This window comes from Homo sapiens, chromosome 15 (assembly GCF_000001405.40).
Source record: "Homo sapiens chromosome 15, GRCh38.p14 Primary Assembly".
In the NCBI taxonomy this organism is placed as follows: domain Eukaryota; kingdom Metazoa; phylum Chordata; class Mammalia; order Primates; family Hominidae; genus Homo; species Homo sapiens.
This window is the reverse complement of record NC_000015.10, coordinates 59,181,870-59,206,667: the sequence shown is the minus strand read 5'-3', so window position 1 is coordinate 59,206,667 and position 24,798 is coordinate 59,181,870. Positions and strand designations below refer to the sequence as shown.

At 43.6% G+C, this 24,798-nt stretch overlaps 1 protein-coding gene across 1 annotated transcript in view; it reads left to right on the top strand.

The window, feature by feature from the left end:
• Window positions 1–24,798, top strand: part of MYO1E (myosin IE) — a 240,438-nt gene that overhangs the window by 166,204 nt on the left and 49,436 nt on the right. The window contains exons 15-18 of the mRNA NM_004998.4: window positions 1,183–1,268; window positions 4,261–4,342; window positions 11,101–11,207; window positions 18,452–18,550. Coding sequence (NP_004989.2) covers window positions 1,183–1,268; window positions 4,261–4,342; window positions 11,101–11,207; window positions 18,452–18,550 — 374 coding nt within the window. The remainder of the gene's footprint in view (window positions 1–1,182; window positions 1,269–4,260; window positions 4,343–11,100; window positions 11,208–18,451; window positions 18,551–24,798) is intronic.

Here is a 24,798-nt window from a genome sequence, read left to right as displayed (position 1 = left end):
TTAAGAGGCTAACCGAGATCCCTGGAATTACTAGTTTTTTATTTTTAATATGAATGCTGAGGAAACATGCTTCTGTTAACTACAGATGAAAATAAGGTTACGTTTTCTGAACCGTGACCCTGCCAGGAAGGATAGGGCTCTATGCTTTGCGTACTGGTGGCTGCCTGCACCATCTCCCAGTGTCCCAGAATTGGGCGCCTGCTTTCTGGTCTATGGCGCTGGAGGCCTATTTTGAAAGGATTCCACTGCCTTGGTGCCAGTCCTGGCCAGGACCCACCCTGGGACAGTCGGCTGGGGCTTCAGCAGGGTAGGGGCCGGCTGGGAGTCACTCCAGCACTAAATCTCAGCATACTACTGCATATTTTTGGAAAATGAATCACCCTGCTACATGTATTAGCTGCTGAATAAATGGATTTTCGTCTTGCCTCTTGCTGGAATCACAGACTGGCATTCCTTGTCTCCCCATGCCTACTGGTAGTATAAATCAAGGCCCAGAGTGCACTTTTGGTGTTCTTATAAAGCCCATCAGTATTGGGTGCCTACTGGATGCCAGGCTGTGTGGGGCTGCTGATGATAAAAAAGTTAAGTTGAGGTCGTGGTCTTGGGGACTTCCTAGTGCTATGGAAATCCCCTGGTCTCATCCATCATCCCAGCTGATCTCTTGTTAAACAGAGTATCTGAGCATGAGTTTCTGGCCAGATTGGTGCAACTTTGATACCACTTCTGGGAGAAACTGCAAAGCCTCAGATGACATGGCTCATTGCAGTGAATTACTGAGCATGAGGGGCTTCACTTTTGCTCTGGCTTAGCTAAAATTTAGGAAAAGTATTGAGTATGTCACTTAGACACCCCTATGGATCCACTGAAGAAGGGGTATGGGGACTTGAGAGCTGGAGTTCTGATTACGGATCAGCTGGGCCATCCAGGCAGCCAGATACTCATCAGCATCTGCAGGCCTTCCCCACTAAGTCAGCTAACAAGTAAGACGTGCACAGCCTTCCTGTGACAGTGCACAATGAAATCCCAAATGCAACATCTGGAAATCCACATGTTGTGGTGAGGGTAGCCATGACAGCTTTGGTTTTTTGTTTGGTGAAATTAGATTTTTTGTTCAATAAATGATTTTGTTCAATTAATTACATTTTGTTCAATGAAATTCGATTTCTTTCCATTCTTGGCCAGGTATCCTATGACATGGATGGCTTTTGTGAAAGGAACCGGGATGTGCTTTTTATGGATCTCATCGAGCTTATGCAGAGCAGCGAGCTGTAAGTATGTTTTGCCATAGCTGACAGGGGATATAGGTTTGATGAAATTTTCAATATGAAAACAAACTTATGAGCTGGGTGTGGTGGTGTGTTCCTATAGTCCCAGCTACTCAGGAGGCTAAGGCAGGAGGATCACTTGATCCTAGGAGTTTGAGGCTGCACTGAGCTGTGATCACTCCTGTCAATAGCCACTGCCCTCCAGCCAGGCAACATAGGAACACTGTGTCTCTAATAAAGAAAAAAACAAAAACAAAACAAAACACCTGTGATGTTTAGTGGTTAGCATTTTGTTCCTTCATGCTATTGGGTCTGGATTATCATTTAATCTATTTGGTTTCTCAAAATAGCTTTCTTTTCTCTATATCAGTCTCTCCCTTTTATGTCCCTAACACTTCATGCCCCCAAATTCCAAGTGCCATCTACAGGTCCTTCAGGGCCTCAGGCTTTCTACCTTTCAATACTATTATCAGGGAGAAATAAGCCCACTGGCTTTGGATTGGGATGGCCATTTCTGACTATTTAAGAGTGGAACAGTCTGGTTCTATGATACTTTGCCCCTGAGCTCTTCTTCATGGTCGTTGAATTTTTAAAGATGGTTAATGGCTTAGCAAGACCCACATTAACCAGAGTCCCTGAAGTACTGAAGAAATGGCTTGAGAACTCTGGGAGGGACAACTAAAGAAGGAGTGACTAAGAGATCCATTTTAACTCCCAAGACCCTGTTTCAGCTGTAGGGGTAGAAGAGGGAGGGTATCCCCCTTGCACGCTGCTAGAACTCTCAAGACCACCTCTGCCTTCCTCCCCTTTTCCCTGAAAAGGTTCTCAAGATCCTGGATAACACATAAGATGTAATTTACATGAGCAAGTCCATCATGCTTGCGAGGCAAGGCCCATGCATGCCAGATCTTACAATTTCTAGAGCTTCTTTCAAGTAAGAGCTGCCCTTTTGCTCTCTATTAGTTAAGCTGTCACAATAGCAAGGCCAGCTTCTCTGATCAACAGCAGCGAGCCTGATAATTTCCTATTAAAGGGCTGACTGCAATGAAAGCAAAGCAAGAGTTTCCTTTTCAGGCCCTGGTCAGCTGTTCTGCTCCGTTTACTTCTCTCCCTGTAGCTCCCTACCCCTCCTCACCCTCTGCTCTCCATCCCTGCGCTTCCTTGCAGCCACACCACCATTTCTGAGATTTTGCATTTCTTTTTATTCAAAACATACATAATCAATTTGTTCTTCTCTGAGATGTTTAGGTAAGCCACAAGTCCTGGCTTGTGGGTTTTATGGCAGTCAGGTGCAGACTTGCTTCCAGAGATTGTTTTTAAAAAATTATTAAAATTCCTGCCAAGTTTAAGAGCTATTATTGCTTCCACATAAACTGCTGTCATACGGACATGGCCTATTATTTTGTAAACACACTTGATGTCAAAATCTGTAGTTGTATCTGGTCAAGTTAAAAGTAGACTGCTGGGGAGACTTCCTGGAAAATTCAAGATGCCCAAAAAGTCATTGAGGAGGAAGTGAGTTTGAGTTTGAATGTCAGATTGCTAATTTACATGGATCCCGTCATTCACCCAGTCAGCAAATACATATTATGGACCAACTGTGCACCATGCTATGCTTCAGACACCAGGGACACTAAGATGAGTAAGGCATTGTCCCTGCCCTGTTGCTAGTGAGGCAGACGTATAAACACATGCAGCTCAAATAGCACCACTAATGAAAGTATCTTCAGGCTGGGTGCAGTGGCTCATGCCTGTAATCACAGCACTTTGGGAGGCCAAGGTGGGTGGATCACGAGGTCAAGAGATCGAGACCACTGTGGCCAACATGTTGAAACCCCGTCTCTACTAACGATACAAAAATTAGCTGTGGTGGCACGCACTTGTAGTCCCAGCTACTCAGGAGGCTGAGGCAGGAGAATCACTTGAACCTGGGAGGCAGAGGTTGCAGCGAGCCAAGATCGCGCCACTGCACTCCAGCCTGGTGACAGAGCGAGACTCCATCTCAAAAAAAAAAAAAAGAAAGTATATTCAGCCGGCAGAGCCTGGTGATTTGTTACTGCTCCGCTTAAAATTGCTCATACTCAAAAGCAGTTTGTCAGGGTTTTCTGTGTAGAGCTGGGAACAGTGTGCTACTGGCATCTGGTGAGCAGAGACCATGGATGCTGCTAAATATCCCACAATATGTAGAAGAGGCGCCCTCCTCGGCCCCCAACAAAGAATTATTCAGCCGCAGATACCAATGGTGCCCAGACTCAGAAACTCTGCTCTAGAGCAAAGCAGCATCTGCACTGAATCCAGACATTTCATATAATTCCCTGAGCTCTGGTCTATCTTGCTTGTCTTAACAAACACATGCTGGCCAGGCGCAGTGCCTCATGCCTGTAGTCCCAACACTTCAGGAGGCTGAGGCAGGAGCACCTCTTGAGTCCAGTTGTTTGAGACCAGCCTGGGAAACATGGCGAAACCCCATCTCTAAAGAAAATACAAGAATTAGCTGGACGTGGTGGCGTCTGCCTATATATAGTGCCAGCTACTCAGGAGGCGGAGGTGGGAAGATGGCTTGAGTCTGGGAGGTCGAGGCTGCAGTGAGCCATGATTGAACCCCTGCGCTCCAACCTGGGCAGTAGAGCGAGACCCTGTCTCAAAAACAAAACAAAAACCTAAAATCCCCTACTGACCTCCCTCTGTTATGTTCTGTCAAGATATACCTCAATTCCTGTGACTAGGGACGTTGGAAAGGCATTGTTTTAAAATTTATTTTGCAGTCTTTGATTCCAAATTGCTTATATCTTAGAATTCTTTCCCTTCATGACTTTTGTCCGTTGTTCATTTCCCCAAGTCACATCTTGATGGCCCGCGCTGTGAGTCAGATGGCTTTTCTGTAGCCAAGGTTATGTGCCTGGGGACGGCCCTTCACCCCATCCTCTAGAAAGGCAGGCTTTCAGCCCCAGAGGTACTTACAGATTGTTAATTCATTCTCTTTCTCCTTTTCCAGGCCTTTCATAAAGTCTTTATTTCCGGAAAATCTGCAGGCTGACAAGAAAGGGCGCCCAACTACTGCCGGAAGCAAAATAAAGGTTAGTTCTATTTTAGGAAGTTTATAGATTCTTATAAGGGCTAGCGCTTTCTAGGAGTAAGGAACTGCACCCCTGGGCCAGGATGAGGTCAGTGAGACGTGAGGAGGTGGTTACAGAAGATGCCCAGAAGTAACATCGCTGCTTGTTACAAGGTTCCAGGATGCAAGCTGAATTTGACTTGGCTGTACCGAAACCTTAAATGGATATTAAGTACCTCATAGCTTAATAGTCAGCAGATGATAATCAGCTACTTTCTAAGAGGAAATGGCTTTAAACAGAACCTGGAAGAATTTATGTTAAACTGTCAGAGAAATATGGTTCGGAGCCATGTTTTGGATACTGTTGACAGTTTACCAGGCCAGGCCCAAAAACCTGCCAGTTATGGAACGTTACTTGCCAGAAATTCTACTTGGTCTTTTAGGGGCAATTTATGCATCCCTCCTCACTGGGTCCTACAGGCCTCTCCTTGCTGTGAATTGAAGACACATCTAGCCACATGGTGTCTCAAAGTCTGAAGGAAATCTTACAGTGTTTCTCAGGAAGTAGGCAGGGTTCTGTGGTACCTGAGCCATTACACTGAATTAAGAGTTTACACTTAATTACACTGAATTAAGAGTTTGTGGGCTGGGTGCGGTGGCTCACGCCTGTAATCCCAGCACTTTGGGAGGCTGAGGCGGGTGGATCACCTGAGGTCAGGAGTTCAAGACCAGCCTGACCAACATGGAGAAACCCTGTCTCTACTAAAAATACAAAATTAGCCAGGCGTGGTGGCACGTGAGTGTAATCCCAGCTACTCAGGAGGCTGAGGCAGGAGAATCACTTGAACCCTGGAGGCAGAGGTTGCAGTGAGCCAAGATTGCGCGATTGCACTCCAGCCTCGGCAACAAGAGTAAAACTCCATCTCAAAAAAAAAAAAAAAAAAAATCTGTGTCAGCCAGATGTAGTGGCTCTGGCCTGTAATCCCAACACTTTTGGAGGCCGAGGAGGGAGGATTACTTGACCCCAGGAGTTCGAGACCAACCTGTGCGATATAATGAGAACCCCATCTCTACTAAAAATAAAAATGAGGTGTAGTGGCTCACATCTTATGCTCTCAGCTACTTGGGAGGCTAAGGAAGGAGGATCGCTTTAGTCAAGGAAGTCAAAGCTGCAGTGAGCCATGATTGCTCCAGCCTGGGGGACAGAACGAGACCCTGTCTCCAAAAAAAAAAAAAAATAGTTTTTGTCATTGTGTCACACACAATCATGTAACTCTAAGAAATACTCACTGAGCTATTTTTTAAAATCATACTGGTTAAGAATAATTTTTTTAAAAATTATACCAGCTGAATACTTCCTCAGTTTTACAATCAAAGGAATGGTTGAGTGACAGCAGGGCTTTGAGTTTGCTCGCCTGTGTTCGAATCTCAGCTCTGGCTTTTCCTCGCTGTGTGCTTGCCAAGGTGTTACTTACGCTCTCAGTGCCCTCACCGCTTCCCTGTAAAATGGAGTCTATCTTAAGAGTCTATCTTAAGATATTAGTGTCTATCTTAAGAGATTACTGTGATGATTCAGCTTCATAATTCATTGGAAGCATGTAACGCAGTGCCTGAGGCATACTGAACACAAGATGTATATGTATGCTCTGACTACATTCTTTCCCATTAGCCCCTTTCCTGTATCGCCGTTGTTGGTCTCTGCTTAATTGTTGTTTTTTTCTTTTTTGTAAAGTTGGGGTGTCACAATGTCACCTAGGCTGGTCTTGAACTCCTGGGCTCAAGCGATCCACCTCAGACTCCCAAAATGCTAGGATTACAGGCACAAGCCACCGAGTCCAGCCTGGGCTTTCAGCTGTAGGGTAGAGCCCTCTGAGCGTCAAGAACATCATGTTGAAAGAACTAGAGACATTTAGTAGCCTCAGGACAGTCCCTGGGTTAGGCTCACTGGGGCAGATTGCTGAAGGCAGAAAACAAATGAAATTCTCATGAGGCCCAGATATTAATGTCTGCGTGAAGTGTCTGACTCATGCCTTTACTGCAAAGTCCTGGATAAGGATTAACTCTGGGCTGGAAAATCGAGTCATAAGACTGTCACATTCAGATCCAAGGGGCCCAGATCATCCAGGTTATGATGACTCATTTTCAAGTGGTCTGGATTATTGTCTATAAAAAGGAGAGCAAGGGTAGGGACACTTTTTCCTCCTTAAAGACTTGTCCCCTTTCTTTCCTTCGTATGCTTGTCTGGTTGAAGGCTCAAAGTGCCACCATTGTGGGATGTTTCCAAAATGTTTAGGTTTACAAGTCTCAGGCCCTTGTCTAGGGAGGTCAAGCTGAAGTCAGCAGTTTACCTAAAGAGAGTACAGCATGTTTTCCCACCTCCAGGCACAATCTCCTTGGTGGATGTTGTGACCTCTGTCTGCCTGGCTGTCTGCCTCCACGTAGGAATAAAAGTCTCTCCCAGTACCTCTTACAGATACATAGCCATGGCCCAATCGCTGATACGTTCCATATCTACAGTAATTTGCAGACATCATTGTCATCTTAACGATGTCCCTGAGGCGTAAGCGTTTAAAAGGATTCTGAGTTCCTTGAAAGAAAAATTAAACTTGTGTTCAAGGTCATCGTAGTGTTATAGATTTCATTATATTCTAATTATTTAAAAATTTAAACTGATTTGTAGGATTTAACTAATAGAATATTCATTTGATGGGAACTCTTATTATATTGATTATAAATAAAAGTATAAATATAGTAATATTTAATAGCATTTGATTTTGAGGTTTTACTTAATTCGATATTGTCGTGTCTGGAAGGGACAAGTACAGGTTGAGCATCTCAAATCCTGAAATGCTCCAATGAGCATTTCCTCTGAGCATCGTGTTGGTGCTCAAAAAGTTTCAAATTTTGGAGCATTTTGGATTTCAGCTTTTCAGATTAGGGGTACTCAACTATAAAGTATAATGCAGGCCGGGCACAGTGGCTCATGGCTGTTATCCTAGCACTTTGGGAGACCGAGGTGGCTGGATCATTTGAGGTCAGTCTGGCCAACATGGTGAAACCCCATCTCTACTAAAAATACAAAAATTAGCTGGGCATGGTGGCAGGAGCCTGTAATGCCAGCTACTCAGGAGGCTGAGGCAGGAGAATTGGTTGAGCCCAGGAGGTGGAGGTTGCAAGTGAGCCGAGATCATGCCACTGAACTCCAGCCTGGGCGACAGAGCGAGACTCCATCTCAAAAAATAAAGTATAATGCCAATATTCCAAAATCTGAAAAAATCCAAAATCCGAAACACTTCCCTTCCCAAGCATTTCGGATAAGGGATACTCATCCCATATTTAAATTAGAGCCAAAGATTGATGCTACGGAGAAACAGAACCAAGCTCAGAGGTGGCAAAGGCAGACTGGCTATAGCTTTATCTGAGTGCAGCTGGAGCTATAAGGGACATGACAGAGGAAGTACAGGCATCATGCAGGTGATTGGATTGGTTGGGGGTTTTTTTGGTTTGTTTTTTTTTTGTTTTTTTTCTTGAGATGGAGCCTTGCTGTGTCACCCAGGCTGAAGGGCAGTGATGCGATCTTGGCTCACTGCAACCTCTGCCTCCCAGATTCAAGCGATCCTCCTGCCTCATCCTCCCACGTGGCTGGACTACAGGTGGCACCACCATGCTCAGCTAATTTTTTGGTATTTTTTTTAGTAGAGACGAAGTTTCACCATGTTGGCCAGGCTGGTCTCGAACTCCTGACTTCAATTGATCCGCCTGCCTCAGCCTCCCGAAGTGCTGAGATTACAGGAGTGAGCCGTTGCACCCAGCCTGATTGTTTGTTTTTTAATATGTATTTCAATCTCTAGATTAAATTAGAGGTCTTCTAGTTCAACCTACTTAGTTTACAGATAGAGAACTGAGGACCAGAGAAATCTAGTGATTAGTCATGTAACTTGCAAATAAAAGTGCCAGGACCCACAGTCAGGCCTGCTGTCATCTCTGTTGAAGGTAGAATGAGGAGCTTTCACCCTGAGCCGTTTCTCACTGTGCTGTCTGCGTATTTTAACACCTGCTTCTGTTGAGCAAGTGCTGTTGGTACTTTTCTGTCCTAACTCAGGAACCCTTCTTGGCTGGAATCAGGATTAAATTCAGTTACTGCTTCACAACCACCTCAGCAGACATCTTAAGTTGACCCAAGGTTGGGCACAGTGGCTCACACCTGTAATCTCAGCACTCTGGGAGGCCAAGGTGGGAAGATTGCTTGAGGCCAGGATTGGAGACGAGCCTGGGAAATATAGTGAGACCCCACCTCTACAAAAATTTTTTTTCAAAAATTAGCTGGGTGTGGTGGCATGTGCTTCCAGTCCCAGCTACACAGAGGGCTGAGGTGGAAGGATCACTCGAGCTTGGGAGGCCAAGGCTCCAGTGAGCTGTGATCATGCCACTCTACTCCAGCCTGGACAACAGAGCAAGACCCTGTTTCAAAAATTAAAAATAGGTAAATAAAGTTGACCCATAGCTATTGAAATACAGGATAATTTTGATGGTTAAGATGTATTTCTGTTTGCTGAAATTAATTATTCACAGCCTGGTGGCTTCTGTCTAATCCTACCTCAACCAGTTAATTCCTTTTATATCACACTAAATGATCCCATCTCTTTGTCAGCAAGGCAGGATAGGATTGTTGCCAAAGAACAGGCTTGGTAGCCCATGGGCGTGGGTTCAAGCCTTACTTCTCTTTCATGCAAATTGTGTCATCTTGAGCAATACTTTGTTTCTTTAAGGCCCAGCTTTCTCATCTAAAAAACAGGAATAATATTAAATAGTAGCCACCTCTTCAGGTTGTTGTGAGGCGTAAATGAGATAATACATGTATCTAATCTGCACTGCAAACTCAGTAAATGTTATCTGTCACTATTTTAGCTGGAGAGGACTATGGCAAGTGACTTATAAACTTAAGTTACACTTGCCTCTCTATGTTTTCTTATGCTGAGGTGAAAAAGAAGGAATGCTGTTAAATACTTAGGACAAAAGAGTTTGCAAAGTTATTCTTGGAAATTAAAAGTTGTAGGCTGGGCACAGTGGCTCACGCCTGTAATCCCAGCACTTTGAGAGGCTGAGGCGGGTGGATCACCTGAGGTCAGGAGCTCGAGACCAGCCTGACCAACATGGTGAAACCCCATCTCTACTATAATTACAAAAATTAGTTGGGCCTGGTGGCATACGCCTGTAGTCCCAGCTACTCGGGAGGCGGAGGCAGGCGAATCGCTTGAACTCGGGAGGCAGAGGTTGCAATGAGCAGAGATCACGCCACTGCACTCCAGCCTGGGCCTCAGAGTGAGACTCCATCTCAAAAAAAAAAAAAAAAAAAAAAAAGTCGTAATTAAATACAAAACTAAAATCTAAAAATGAAGTTTAAAAAATTAAGAATTTGGGGATTTTAAGAACAAAAAAAAGCTGTGCTATATTCAACCCTGCAGTCCCTCTCCGGCTCCACCTGATGTGTTGCAAAAATCATCAAATTTGTTCTCAAGTGCAGTCTGCATCATCAAAGAACATAAGAGGCAATTTACTTTTTCATCATAGGGCTTTGCTTTGATCATGCAACCTCTGCAGCCCTGTCTGTCCTCAATTTCAAGCATCGCAAAGAATGCTATTTCCTGCACATCTAAACAGAGAACTTAATTCACCAATGAATATCTTGCTTTGAATATACTCAATAGTTTTTCTCAAGGGTTTCAGATTTCCCAAACCCATGAAAACAGAAAAGTCCTAATTGAGACAGGGTTGTGTCTTGCAAGCAAATCTCTTCTGCTGACTGTAATGGTTTTCTGGCTTTGGAGGTCCCTTTTGGCTTTTTTTCTTTTAGAGGTTTTCTCTCTTTAGGCTGCTTTGCTTGGAAGTGGAGTTCGCATGTGTGCCACATCCTTGGACCCACAGGGTGTGCTCAGCTGTGGGGTGGGAATGCTGATGTGAGCTCTACTCCTGTTTCTTCAAACAAAGTTTGAGATTCTCAGGGTTTAAAATACTTCATAAGCAATTTCAGCTTTATGTGGCTTTTTCTGCTTGAATCCAGTTCTACTTTGAGTACCCAGTGCACAGGCATTAATAGAAGGTTTTATATAGAATATTCTAGATTTGCAAAGAAGTAAGTTGGCAGCCACAGATAAAGTGTTCAGACTCTGCAGGTTTTTAAATGGCCATATTGAGGAAGAAACTGAATGAAATGGAATATCAAAAGTTTATAAATTCTCAGATTTTTATGAATCTCCCATTCTTTAACTATGAATTTTCATCACTTTAGCAAAGTGATTCTTCATTAGTTGGATTGCCAGAAAAGAGAGTGTAGGGGATTTGATGATTTATCCTTACAAATAATTTTGGGGGAAAAAAAGTTAATGAGAACAATATATCTTCAAAGGCGCTCTATCAGCATAAAATGAACTTAGTTTGTTAACTGACATGCTTCACTGTACCACCTGAAAATCATTTTGTATGTGAAGATTTATTGGGATTTTTGTTTTTTGTTGTTGTTCTATTTTATTAACTGTACTGAAAATGCCTAGTTGCTTTTGAAGATTGAATTTCAAACCCATTTAGGAGTGATAAAATCATCATAAAAGTCGGCAAAGCTTTCGGAAAGTTTAGTAGACCTGAGTTATGCTTAACGAGCAAATTGTCATGAAGATTAATTCCTAGCTATGTATTTCTACAAGAGAGTTTTACAAGTCTCCTTTGAAATTTGGTCTTCTTTAGAGAAAGTTCCATGATTCTGATACTGTTCTTCCTTTCTAGAAACAAGCCAATGACCTTGTGAGCACCCTGATGAAATGTACGCCCCACTACATTCGCTGCATCAAGCCAAACGAAACCAAGAAGCCCAGAGACTGGGAGGAAAGCAGGTATCGGGGGAAACCGGCTTAGGTGGGGCCGGGACCTTTTTCCCTCTGCTCAAGATGAGCCGTCCTCCATCACAGGCAGGAGCAGTGTCAGTTGTCCGCACATGTCTTTGTCATGCCCTTGCATCTTAACTTTTTCAGGACAAAAGCTGTATACTGTTTCCCCTCCGTGTCATTTGCTAAAATGTTAGCAGTGCCATTCATTTCAGCATTAGCAGTTTATAATGTTGATCTTGGCTAGTCTGGGGGCAGATGGAAAAAAAACAAAACATAACCTCATACCGCAGAGTCATGATGGTTTTAAAATCAGTTTGAGGTTCTGTGTAGACATTCTTAGTCCACCCAGCCCCTGATCGGGACCCACAGGATGTGGCCTAGAATGCTTAGCTTGGGGTGGAAAGTGGAGGGCGTAAGAGCTGATGGAAATACAATCCAGCATTTGCTGTGCCTCGTGAAGACACTGGGGACAAGCTGGAGGCTCTGGCATTCCCCCTAAGCACCGTATTGATGAGAAGAACGACTCTGGGAGGAAAGATGTCAAAGGGAAATGCAGAGCACAAGAATTCAGCAAACCCTTTCTGCCCTGACTTCCAGTGAAGCCTGCATCACTGTTCCTCCCACAGCTAGGATTTAGGGAAGTGGCCTGGGCAGGAAGAAATGGCGGCATTGAGGAGGAGCCTGTTAAGGTGGTGGCTAGAGGGTATGAATTTTGTGGCCCGCTGGGAGACCCAGACACACATTGTTCAGAGGCCTGATCCCACTGTCCATAGAAGCATGGGAAGGAGGGAGAGACTTAAACTACAGAGAGGACCCTAGCCATCGTCACCTAGTATCAGTCCCAGGATGGGAGCCTACCAGAATTGCTACCTCTTGTCTTCTCTCTTGGAGAAAAGAAGGTAGGCTCTTTTAGGTGTCGAGTGAAGAACTCCAGGTTTAGCTTCCACAGGAAGACAAGGACTAAAATTCCTAGCTGCCGATTATCTCCTGCGAGGGACAGGTGTGTCCATTTTCCTTCCTGCCAGTAAGATCCTAAACCATGGCAGATAGATGATGCCTGATCCTTTACAGGAGGAAACAGATCCATAGTAAGAAAAACACGTAGGTCAAACATTTACTGTCTGAAAGTTCGTTCTATTTAATATTGAATACTTCGGCATGCAGTCTAAGTCTGTTCTCTCCTCTGAAGAAGCCAGGCTGCTTGGATGTAAGAGCTGCCATCTTTTCAGGCCACTATGTTCTGAATAATCTCATCCATAGATGCATATTCTTAAGGATTTTTTTTTTTTTTGGAGACAAGAGTCTCGCTCTGTCACCCAGGCTGGAGTGCAGCGGCATGATCTTGGTTCACTGCAACCTCTGCCTCCCGGTTTCCAGTGATTCTCCTGCCTCAGCCTCCTGAGTAGTTGAGATTACAGGTGCCCACCATCATGCCTGGCTACTTCTATATTTTTAGTAGAGATGGGGTTTCACCATCTTGACCAGGCTGGTTTTGAACTCCTGACTTCGTGATCCAACTGCCTCGGCCTCCCAAAGTGCTGGGATTACAGGTGTGAGCCACCACCCCTGACCGCTTAAGGCATCTTTTCTATTGAATCTCTGAAATTTTTCAATTTAATGTAGTCAGATTCCTTCTACAATATTGTCCGTTAATGATATTCAGGCCCGGATGAGGAGCTCATACTTGCTAAGGTGACCAGCTCTTCTTTGGTCAATTCTTACTTTAGGAGGCTGTACAGTCCTTCTCTAGGTCACTTTTATCCTAATCCCAGGTTTTCAATCTGCGATAAGAATCATTCTCATTACTTTGCCACTGGACACCTTTTCTGTTAGTTCGAGGTGACCGTCGTGTTTCTCTTGAATCTTCTCTTCTACAGGTTAATCCCTCTCAGTTCCGTCAACAGTTTCTCTAGGACATGAAATATAAGCATTCCCCATCTTAGCCCTTCTCTTGGAGGTACTTAATTTGGCCTCTGCTTTTCTGAAATGTATAGTTCCGCTTCTCCTTTCAGACTAAGAGGGTAGCAGCATTGTCATCTCTTCTCCTCTAAAGATGTAAAATGCTTACACCCAGGAGTTTGAGGCTGCAGAGAGCCATGATTGAGCCACTGCACTCCAGCCCAGCTGTTAGAGTGAGACCCCAAGTCAATCAATCAATCAATCATACAGAAAACATCTTGTTTTGCTCTCTTACATTGGTTCCCATACTTGAGCCTGCCTCAGGATCCCCAGGAGGCCTTGTTAAAGCTGAGATTGCTGGGCTCCATCCCGAGTTTCTGATGCAGTGGGTCTCAGGTGGGGCCCATGAATGTGCATCTTAAAAATCTTGCAGGTGGTGCTGGTGATGATGGCCCAGGCACTGCACTTTGAGAATCACTGATCTAGAGCAAAGAACTAGACTGTGTCCCGGTGCTGACCTATCACTAAGTTGTTAGAGCGAGACTCTTCATCTCCTTAGCCCTCAGTTCCTTCCTCTTAAGAGGGTCCATCTAGAATAGGATCTCCTTCAGTCTGACAGAATGAAGGCTTCCAGACAGTGGCTGTCAGTCTGCCTCTGTCTCTGTCACTTTTACACTCACCTCTCACACATACCCACACTTGTACACCCACCCACACATACATCCACATGTACACACACACAACAGAACAGTGATATTAAATCAATATCCCAATATGATTACTCCAACCAAATCTTTAGTCAACCTTAGAAATAAACCATGAGAGTCTTGGAAGCAGAGGTATTGCCAAAGGGGGCCTTAGCCCACCTTCCCCCATTTCAAACTCTATCCACCTGCTCTTCCCAGCAAATACTCTTAAATGAAAACATCTCACTTGCCCTACAAATGCATTTTGACAGTCTTGGAAAAAGACTCCCTCTGCAAGACGGAGTTGGCATAGCCTAGGGAACAACTGGGCATTGTCTGATCAATGCCCCCTAGCACACCCTCCTCTACCCCACGTAGATAGTTCTACTGAAAGCCCCTCTAAAATAGAAATTTTGCAATAGCTGCTTGGAAGTTCACCAACCCTGATGCTACTTCCTTGTAAAAATCCAACATAATTCATTGGAATATCAGAAAATGGAGAAATTAAATGAGTGGTACATTTTATTCAGTAAATCCTCATAGGATGAGGATGGTATTTTCTCTTTTCTTTTTTTTTTTTTTAAATGATTCCCCTTTGAATTGCAGCAAAGAATTTTATGACATGCATTCAAATAAACTGGTTTTAAGAAGTTCAAGGTATTAGTTGGTCGAGCGTTGATTTATAATTCCAGTAAGACCGCTTTCTGGGATTCCACCCTTAATCCTGGTTTGGGTTTATTGTGTAACAAATGGTTTCACTCCATCCATGAGTCAGGAGTGTTAGGGTCCGTGAAAGGGCAGTGTGCTTCACTGGCTGGGATTACACACCCAGTTGAAGCTCCTGGTAAAGAGGGTTACTCATTCCACAAGTTTATGAGGTGTAGGGTTTTTCTTTTCCTGTTGCAAATGCGTTTTTGTTTGGCTTCTGGCAAGGTTGCTTGCCCTGCATTCTGAATTGCTGCCTTGCAGAGTTCTCTAGCCCTGATCAATTTGAGTAAACGGCCAGGGACAGTCTTGGAAAAAGACTCCCTCTGCAAGATGGAGTTGGCATAGCCTAGGGAACAACTGGGCATTGTCTGATCAACGACTACTGAGGAGGTGACAGTGCTCCAGGAATATGCAAAAATCAACTTGTGTCGCTTTGATGACCCCCAAATTTTAAACATTACAGGACTTGCTAGACTCATTTCTACCAGAAAATTTCCTGATGGTGGAAGTTATAATGAATGAAACAATGTTTTAACATGAGGAATATTCCTTCCTATGTGATTCATGGGAGAGGAACGTTTCTGCTTGAATTAATGGGTGATGCATTCCCTGCCTCGAAAGCTTGGCGTGAAGCCAGTGTTTATGAAAAGTACTTTAAAATGAGCAGAACCTTTAAATGCATTTTTCATGCATTTTTCTCACTAGAGAAAAGGCCAGTGGCGAGTTTTAGATTTGGAGGGTGAGAGAAAGGAAAATTAATTATTTTTCAATTTAATTACCTTTTTAATTGACATGACATTTCTTTCTCTCTCTCTCTCTCTCTCTCTCTCTCTCTCTCTCTGTCTCTGTCTGTCTGACTTATATGGGCAAAGGTGGATATTTAGTACAGACGGGGTTTCACTGTGTTGGCCAGGCTGGTCTCGAACTCCTGACCTCATGATTTGCCCGCCTCGGCCTCCCAAAGTGCTGGGATTACAAGCGTGAGCCACTATGCCCGGCTTAACTCTTTGCACACAGAGGCTTTCTGAAAGTTAATAATCTTAGAGGAATCAACATTTCTGGCTCTTGGCTCTGTAAGACCCATCAAACTGGAGACTCTTAAACACCACTCCCATTGTGACATCCTTCCCATCAGCCAAGGTTGCACCCCCACTTCGAGCTTCATCTGTCCCCCTCCTCCTGTCCCACAGCACCCTGCCACTGGCCTTTCCTATTCTTGTACCTTTGCTTTCACAGCCCTCTGCCTTGTCCTGTATACCTCATGGATTCAACTCGCCCCTCCAGGCCCAGGCACATCACAGTGCTCCTGAGAATCCCTGTGCTGTGAAAAATCCACTTCCTTCTCTATTCTCCTATCCTGGTTTACATATTGTAGCTGGGAATGGATGACGATAATAACAGCTTTACATGCTCGTGCTACGAACTAAGTGCTTTCCATAGAAAGTACTCGTCTAGAAATAAAGAATTTATGCCACCATTCCTGTTTTTACAGAAGAGGAAACTGAGAGGCACAGAGAAGTTGCATCGTGGCAGGGCCAGTGGCGCAGCAGGAATGCAGCACCAGAACCTGGCTCCTAACCACTGTGCTGCCTGTGTGGGCTCCAGCAGGAATCATAGCATTGTCCTTTTTTGGTGACCCTAGCATGTTGCAATAGGCACTGTGTGTGACTGGCCCACAGTAGACATCCGCAAGTATGAGACTTAATTGGAAATGGTGGTTTTTGTGAGAGCCTTACTGGGAAGACAGCTGTTGGGAACCTGCGTGACATCGGAATGAGGATGCTTCTGATTGTCTTTTCAGCTCAGCAGCTCCTGAAAGGCCCATTTTGCTGAGCGCATTAGCCCCGTTATCAGCACAGATATCCCCAAATGTACCAAACAGGGAGTGTGAGGAGTTACCTCCCTACTGCAGCACAATCCTGACATTCCATCTTCGAAAGAGAGAGACCTTACTTTTTATGTCTAATTTGCCTCAAATACCATGTTTCCAAGTGTCTGGTTCAGCCAGCTCGCGCAGCACGCAGCCCAGGCCCAATTTATCTTCCCAGAGTGGATGATCTGAAGCAAGTTTTCAGGATCTGTCGGCATCCAGAGCACTGTGTTTTCCAGCAAGTGGTGGGTTTTCACAAGGCACATGTCCGTGCTCCACCTTAGACCCAGCAGGTGTACTAAAATAGCCTCCCCAAGGTGCAGGCCTACTAAATCAGCATCCCCAAGGTGTGGGGCATGGGGCATCTTCTGGTATGAAAATCCTCATGTGTGAGAATATTAACCTAATAGTTCTTTACATCCATTTTTTCAAAAGACATTGCTAGATTTTTACTGTTAAGAAACCAGGATGGGCCAGGCGTGGTGGATCACCTGAGGCCAGGAGTTCGAGACCAGCCTGGCCAACATGGCGAAACCCCGTCTCTACGAAAAAAGACAAAAAATTACCCAGGCATGGTGGCACATGCCTGTAATTCCAGCTATTCGAGATGCTGAGGCAGGAGAATCTCTTGAACCCACAAGGCGGAGTTTGCAGAGAGCCGAGATTTTGCCACTGCACTCCAGCCTAGATGACAAAGCAAGACTCTGTCTCAAGAAAGAAAGAAAAGAAAGAAAGTTTGCCACTGCACTCCAGCCTGGATGACAAAGTGAGACTCTGACTCAAGAAAGAAAGAAAGAAAAGAAAAAGAAAGGAAAGAAAGTTTGCCACTCCACTCCAGCCTGGATGACAAAGCGAGACTCTGTCTCGAAAGAAAGAAAGGAAAGGGAAAGGGAAAGAAAGAAAGAAAAGGGAAGGGAAAGTGAAGGGAAAGGAAAGGAAGAAACACGCCGAGTACAGTGGCTCATGCCTATAATCCCAGAACTTTGGGAGGCTAAAGCAGGCAGATAATTGAGTTCAGGAGTTTGAGACCAGCCTGGGCAAAGTGGCGAAACCCTGTCTCTCCAAAAAATACAAAAATTAGCCAGGTGTGGTGGTGCATGCTTGTAGTCCCAACTGCGCAGGAGCCTGAAATAGGAGGATCACCTGAGCCTGGGGAGGTCAAGGCTGCAGTGAGCTATCACATCACTACAATGTAGCCTGGATGACAAAGTGAGACCCTGTATCAAAAAAAAATTCTTGTAAGAAAGAAGAAATCAACTAAAACTATAATTTAGATATATTTTAGACCATTTTTAATGTACACACTTGAAATTAATAGTTTTAAATGCCCTTTTGTAACTTGTATTAGAAAAGCCTAGAAGTGTAGTTCCATTAAGTCATAATCAATATTAAAATTTAAGTTCAATAACAAAACCAGCATTAGCATCATTTAATTCAAAAGTTAAAAGTTCTTTCCTTTAGCCTTCTGATTAACCAATATTTTTGTTCATACTCTAGGTGATAGATGGGTCTTTGTGTTACTGTTATTCTTTGAAATAGATATGTAATGCCCTGTTATTTAATTGCTGTATTTTTATTTATTTATTTATTTATATTTATTTTATTTCTGAGACGGAGTCTCACTCTGTCATGCAGGCTGGAGTGCAGTGGTGCAATCTCAGCTCACTGCAGCCTCTGCCTCCCTGGTTCAAGCGATTTTCCTGCCTCAGCCTCCCGAGTAGCTGGGACTACAGGTGCGTGCCACCATGCCTGGCTAATTTTTTTATTTTTAATAGAGACAGGGTTTCACCATGTTGGCCAGGCTGGTCTTGAACTCCTGACCTCAGGTGATCTACCCGCCTCACCCTCCCAAAGTGCTGGAATTACAGGTGTGAGCCACTGCGCCCAGCCTAATTGCTGTATTTCAATATTTAAAAATTAGCATTATGTCATCTGAGAGGTCAGCTCAGTGTTTGAACACTATAAATTGTAGTCTTCTGAATATGTTTCCCTACAGCTTGGAACTGGGGGCTTGGGGGTTGGCTGGTAAGAACACGAGTGAAAGGATTATCCAGTAATGTCCAGGCCCCATTTTCTCCTTTGCACAGGGTAAAGCATCAAGTCGAATATTTGGGTCTGAAAGAGAACATTCGAGTGAGAAGAGCTGGCTATGCCTATCGGCGCATCTTCCAAAAATTCCTACAGAGGTAATGAACTAGTGACTCTGGCCTTTTTTAAAACAGGTTTATTGAGCTATAATTCAAATCTATACAATTCACCCACTTCAAGCGTACGAGTCAATGGCTTTTAACGTATTCACAGAGTTGTGCAACTATCACCACCGTTAATTTTAGGACATTTTCTTACCCTGAAAAGAAATCACGCTTCCCTTTGTTGTCAACCTCCAATTCTCCCCTTGCCTCTGGGCCCAGTCAGTCACTTATCTACCTTCTGTCTATAGATTTGCCTATGCTTTTCATAGCAATGGAATCATATATGTGTCCTCTGTGACTGACTTCTTTCACTGAACATAAGATTCATCCATGTTGTTGCATTTCCATGCTTCCTTCCTGTTAATTGCAGAATAATATTCCATTGTGTGGATATACCACAGTTTACTTATGCATTCATCAGTTGATAAACGTCAGTTGTTTCCACTTCTTGGCTATTATGAATAATGCTGCTATGAAAATCTGTGTACAAGTTTTTATGTGGTCATATTTCATTTCTTTCGGGTATATGCTTCAAAGTGCAATTGCTTGGTCATATGGTAACTCTGCATTTAACCTTTGAGAGGAACTGCCTGATTGTTTTCTGAAGTGGCTGCACCACTTCACATTTTGTACCACCAGCAGTATTTGAGGCTTCCAATTTATCTAAATCCTTGCCAACATAAGTTATTTTCTAACCATCCTAGTGAGTGTGGAGTGGTATTTCATGATGGTTTTGATTTGCATTTCCCAGATGGCAAATTATATTGAGGATTTTTTCATGTGCCTGTTAGCCATTTGTATTTCCTCTTTGGAGAAATGTCTGTGAGGCCCTTTGCCATTTTTTAATTGGGTGTTTTGTCTTTTTATCATTGCATTGTAATAATAATTCTTTTACTGTTATTTATTGTAGAATAAATCAGTAGCCATAAGTATTCATTAGGCTGTCTGTTTAGTGTAACACATAAGTGCAAGAATTCTTGATAATTGTGCCACAGGAAGAGCGGAGGTTTAACTTGACTGAATAAATTAACAGTATGAAGACAATTTCAGGAAAATGTTTAACCCACTTAAGACAATAAGCTTAAAATATTTAACCTCAAAAATTTTGTACAATCCATGTATAAATTTAAACTTATTTTTATATATCCCTTAACATGTATTTGGCAGGACCTATACTTAAATTGTTCTTATTTTGTGTTGTTTGTAAAAGGATAAAATGTGGTACCCTTAAAATGTTACATCACTCTAACTTCTCTAATGATTCTGTGGCGTTCCACTGTATTTCTACATCTATTTAATTTCCTTGAAGGAATAGGGAAACAAAAAAGAAGTAAGCCAAATGTAGTGTTTTATTTATTTATTTAGAGACAAAGTCTTGCTCTATTACTCAGGAGTGCAGTGGTGCAATCATAACTCACTGCATCTTTGAACTCCTGGGCTCAAGCCATTCTCTCCCACCTCAGTCTGCAAGTAGCTAGTACTACAGGCATGCATCACCATGCCCAGATGACTTTTTACTTTTCGTAGAGACAGGGTCTCGCTATGTTGCCCCAGCTACTCTCAAGTGATCCTCCCACCTCAACCTCCCAAAGTGTTGGGATTATCAGCACGAGCGACCACACCGCGTCAAACTGAGCATTTTAATCAGAAACAATTACATCTTCCTGATATATTATGCAGGGGCTGGATATAATGTTTTTTTTTTTAAAATTCAGATTGTATATAACTGAAGAAGAAGTTAATTACTGTCTTTGGAATCTAGTATTTCTAATAAGACAGTTCTTATTTAGGGCTGTTGTTTCTTCTGCTATGAGATTAGGACAGCCGACTCACCATTTAGAGGTTTTAAAAAAGAGCTAATGATTTTGTATAATAAAGCGTCAGAAACTCAGTCCCCCACATTTGAGTTTCCTAATAACCGTGGAGGTGAGTTAGACTAGGAACAAGGTTTACCCTCTTTGTTCTCTGAATTAAAGACGTCAGTACGCCTATAGTGTAAGCAGGACTATGTGAAAGAAATATTTAGGAAGTTGAGAAAAGGTATTTGTAGAGCTTTTGCATCACATAGCACCACCCATTTGCTGACACACAACTGAGATGTTAGTTATGAGACTTCCTTAAACAGATCAGTAACACTAGCTCAGAAAAGGTTTTCTCAACCTCAGACCACTGACATTTTAGGCTGGAAGATTCTTTGCTGCGAAGTCTGTCCTGTGTATTGTGGGATGTTTAGCAGCCTTCTTGGCCTCCACCCACTAGATGCCAGTAGTGTACCTTCCTCTGAGTTGTGACATCCAAAAGCGTATCCAGGCATTGACTAATGTTCCCCCTACAGGGCACAGTCAGTTGAGGAACTTTGGCTTAGATAATCATTTTTAAATTTTATTTATTTATTTATTTTAGAGATAAGGTCTCCCTTGGTTGCCCAGGCTGGTCTTGAACTCTTGGGCTTAAGCAGTCCTCCTGCCTTAGCCTCCCAAACTGCTGGGATTACAGGCATCAGCTACCATGCCCGACCCCAAAATACCCTTTTTTAATTAAGAGGGGCCGGGCACGGTGGCTCACACCTATAATCCCAGCACTTTGGGAGGCCGAGGTGGGCATATCACCTGAGGTCAGGAGTTTGAGACCAGCCTGGCCAACATGGTGAAACCTGTCTCTACTAAAAATACAAAAATTAGCCAGGTGCAGTGGCATGCATCTGTAATCCCAGCTGCCTGGGAGGCTGAGGCAGGAGAATTGCTTGAACCAGGGAGATGGAAGTTGCAGTGAGTTGGCATGGCGCCATTGCACTCCAGCCTGGGCGACAGAGTGAGACTCCATCTCAAAAAAAAAATTCCACACAGCAAAGGAAACAATCCACAAAATGAAGAGACAACCCACAAAATGGGAGAAAATCTTTGCAAACCATCCGACAAGGGATTAATAACCAGAATATAGAAGGAGCTCAAACAACTTTGTGGGGAAAAAATCTAATAATCCAATCAAAAAAATGAGCAAAAGATCTCAAGAGACATTTCTCAAAAAAAAGACATGCTGATGGCAGACAGGCATATGAAAACGTGTTCAATATCATTGATCATCAGAGAAAGCCAAAATAAAACTACAGTGCGATATCTCACCTCAGTTAAAATGGCTTTTACCCAAAAGACAGGCAATAACAAATGCTGGCGAGAATGTGGAGAAAGGGAACCATCGTATGCTGTTGGTGGGAATGTAAATTAGTATAACTACTATGGGGAATAGTTTGGAAGTTCCTCCAAAAACTAAAAATAGAGCTACCATATGATCCAGCAAGCCCACTCCTAGGTATGGAGCCAAAAGAAAGGAAATCAGGATATCAAAGAGATATGTTCACGCCTGTGTTTATGGCAGCACTATTCACAATAGCCAAGATTTGGAAGTAAGCTGCATCCATCAACAGACAAATGGATAAAGAAAATGTGATACAGGCTGGGTGCAGTGGCTCACACCTGTAATCCTAGCACTTTGGGAGGTCAAGGTAGGCAGATCACTTGAGATCACAAGTTCGAGATCAGCCTGGCCAACGTGGTGAAACCCTGTCTCTACTAAAAATACAAAACTTAGCCAAGTGTGGTGTCCCATGCCTGTAATGCCAGCTACTTGGGAGGCTGAGGCGGGAAAATTGCTTGAACTCGGGAGGCAGAGGCTGCAGTGAGTGAAGATTTTGCCACTGTACTACATACAACCTAGGCAATGGAGCAAGACTGTGTCTCAAAAAAAAGAAAATGTGTTACACATACACAGTGGAGTACTATTCAGGCATAAAAAATAATGAGATCCAGGCCAGGCGCAGTGGCTCCCACCTGTTATCCCAGCACTTTGGGAGGCCAAGGTGTGTGGATCACTTGAGGTCGGGAGTTTGAGACCAGCCTGGCCAACATGGTGAAACCTCATCTCTACTAAAAATACAAAAATTAGCCAGGTGTGGTGGCGCACACCCGTAATTCCAGATACTCGGGAGGCTGAGGTGAAAGGATTGCTGGAACCCAAGGCAGAGGTTGCAGTGAGCCGAGATTACGCCACTGCCCTCAAGCCTGGGTGACAGAACGAGATTCCGTCTCAGAAAAAGAATGAGATCCTGTCATTTGCAACAACACGATGGAATTGGAGATCATTATGTTAAGTGAAACAAACCAGGCACAGAAAGACAAACATCACATGTTCTCACTTATTTGTGGGAGCTAAAAATTAAAATAATTGAGCTCATCAAGATAGAGAATAAAATGATGGTTACCAGAGGCTGGGAAGGGTAGTGGGGGAAGGGGAAGGGAGGTGCAGATGGTTAATGCATACAAAAAAATAGAAAGAATGAGTAAGACCTAGTGTTTCCTAGCACAACTGGGTGACTATAGTCAAATATAATTTAACTGTACATTTTAAAACAACTAAAAGAGTATAGTTGGATTTCATATAACACAAAGAATAAATGTTTGAGGAGATGGACACCCCATTTTCCATGATGTGGTTATTCCACATTGCATGCCTGTATCAAAACATCTCATGCAAAAAGTAAAAAAGAAAAAAAATCTCATGCAACCCATAAATATGTATACCTACTATGTATCCACCCCCCAAAAAAAACTTATCAGTCCAGGTGCAGTGGCTCATGCCTGTAATCCCAGAACACTGGGAGGCTGAGGCAGGAGGATTACTCGAGCCCAGGAGGTCAAGGCCACAGTGAGTTAGCCTGGGTGACAGAGCAAGACTGTGTCTCAAGAAAACAAGAAAAAAAAAAAAAACCTGATCAAACCTTTTTTAATCTATTCTGGGTTTTTTTGTTTGTTTTTTGAGAAACCAGTTCTGAAAGACCTCCTTCCTTCTACCTTGTTTTAAAAACCAACCAACCAACCAAACTGACTTCCATAAACAATGCTGAGAGTGCTGCCATCTCAGGAGAGCAGGAAGTCTATGCACTCTTTTTTCCCGTCTAAGGCAGGGGTCCCCAACTCGCAGCAGGGGACCAGTACTGGTCTGTGGCCTGTTAGGAACTGGGCCTTACAGTAGGAGGTGAGCAGCAGGCCAGCGAGCATTACCGCCTGAGCCCCACCTCCTGTCAGATCAGCGGTGGCATTAGATTCTCATAGGAGCACAAACCCTATTGTGAACTGCACGTGCGAGGGATCTAGCTTGTGCGCTCCTTTTGAGAATCTAATGCCTGATGACCTGAGGTGGAACAGTTTCATCCCAAAACCATCCCCACAACCCCGTCCATAGAAAAATTATCTTCCATGAATCCTGGTGCCAAAAAGATTGGCTGGTGTAAGGGACCCTGTGATACGTGCATGAGGTGTGAACTGACTCTGTTGATTATCCGGATCTGTCTCGAGTGCCATGCCAGCTTCATGATTCCATGCTGTACTTTACGCTGTGCCGCACTCTGAGTAGGCATTTTGTGAAATTTGTTATTCCTTTTATGTTGAGGAACTTCCACTGAAATGCTTGTATCCTTGGATGCCTCCCTTAGCTCTCCTGCTGTAAGCTTTTCCTTTCAGAACAGACAAATAGCCTTGTCTCTATTGTCAAAAAGTAGGCTCTTTTATTGTTGTCATACTTTTCTTGGTTTGAGAATACTGGGGCTGGGCAAGATGGCTCAATGCCTATAATCGCAGCACTTTGGGAGGCCGCAGTGGGCAGATCACCTCAGATCAGGAGTTCAGGACCAGCCTGACCAAAATGGTGAAACCCCGCCTCTACTAAAAATACAAAAATTAGCCAGGCATGGTGCCGGGTGCCTGTAGTCCCAGCTACTCAGAAGGCTGAGGCAGGAGAATCGCTTGAACCCGGGAGGCGCAGGTTGCAGTGAACCAAGACTGCGCCACTGCACTCCAGCCTGGGCGACAAGAGTGGAACTCCATCTCAAAAATAAAAATAAAAAAAAAGAATACTGGGAGGAGAATCAAAGTTTGGAAAGAAATTATTTTTCTATAAAAAGGACATTTTCAATCCCCCACACTATATTTCAAAACTGTTATTGAAGCAGTCCACTCAAAAGTGGCTTGAAGTCCCACTATATCAGTGGGCGGGGGTATTTCTCTGGAGAGAACACAATTTTCCATAAGACGCATGAGTCTGGGATCTTGGTCATGCAGAATTCATCCAGAGTCCACCGCCAACTGTCTCATCCTATGATGCTCTACAAGTAATTGAACCATCTCATAACTTTATTTTCTCTAAAGGTGAGAGGAAAGGCTTTGTTTATAAAATTGCTCTCTAGGTGT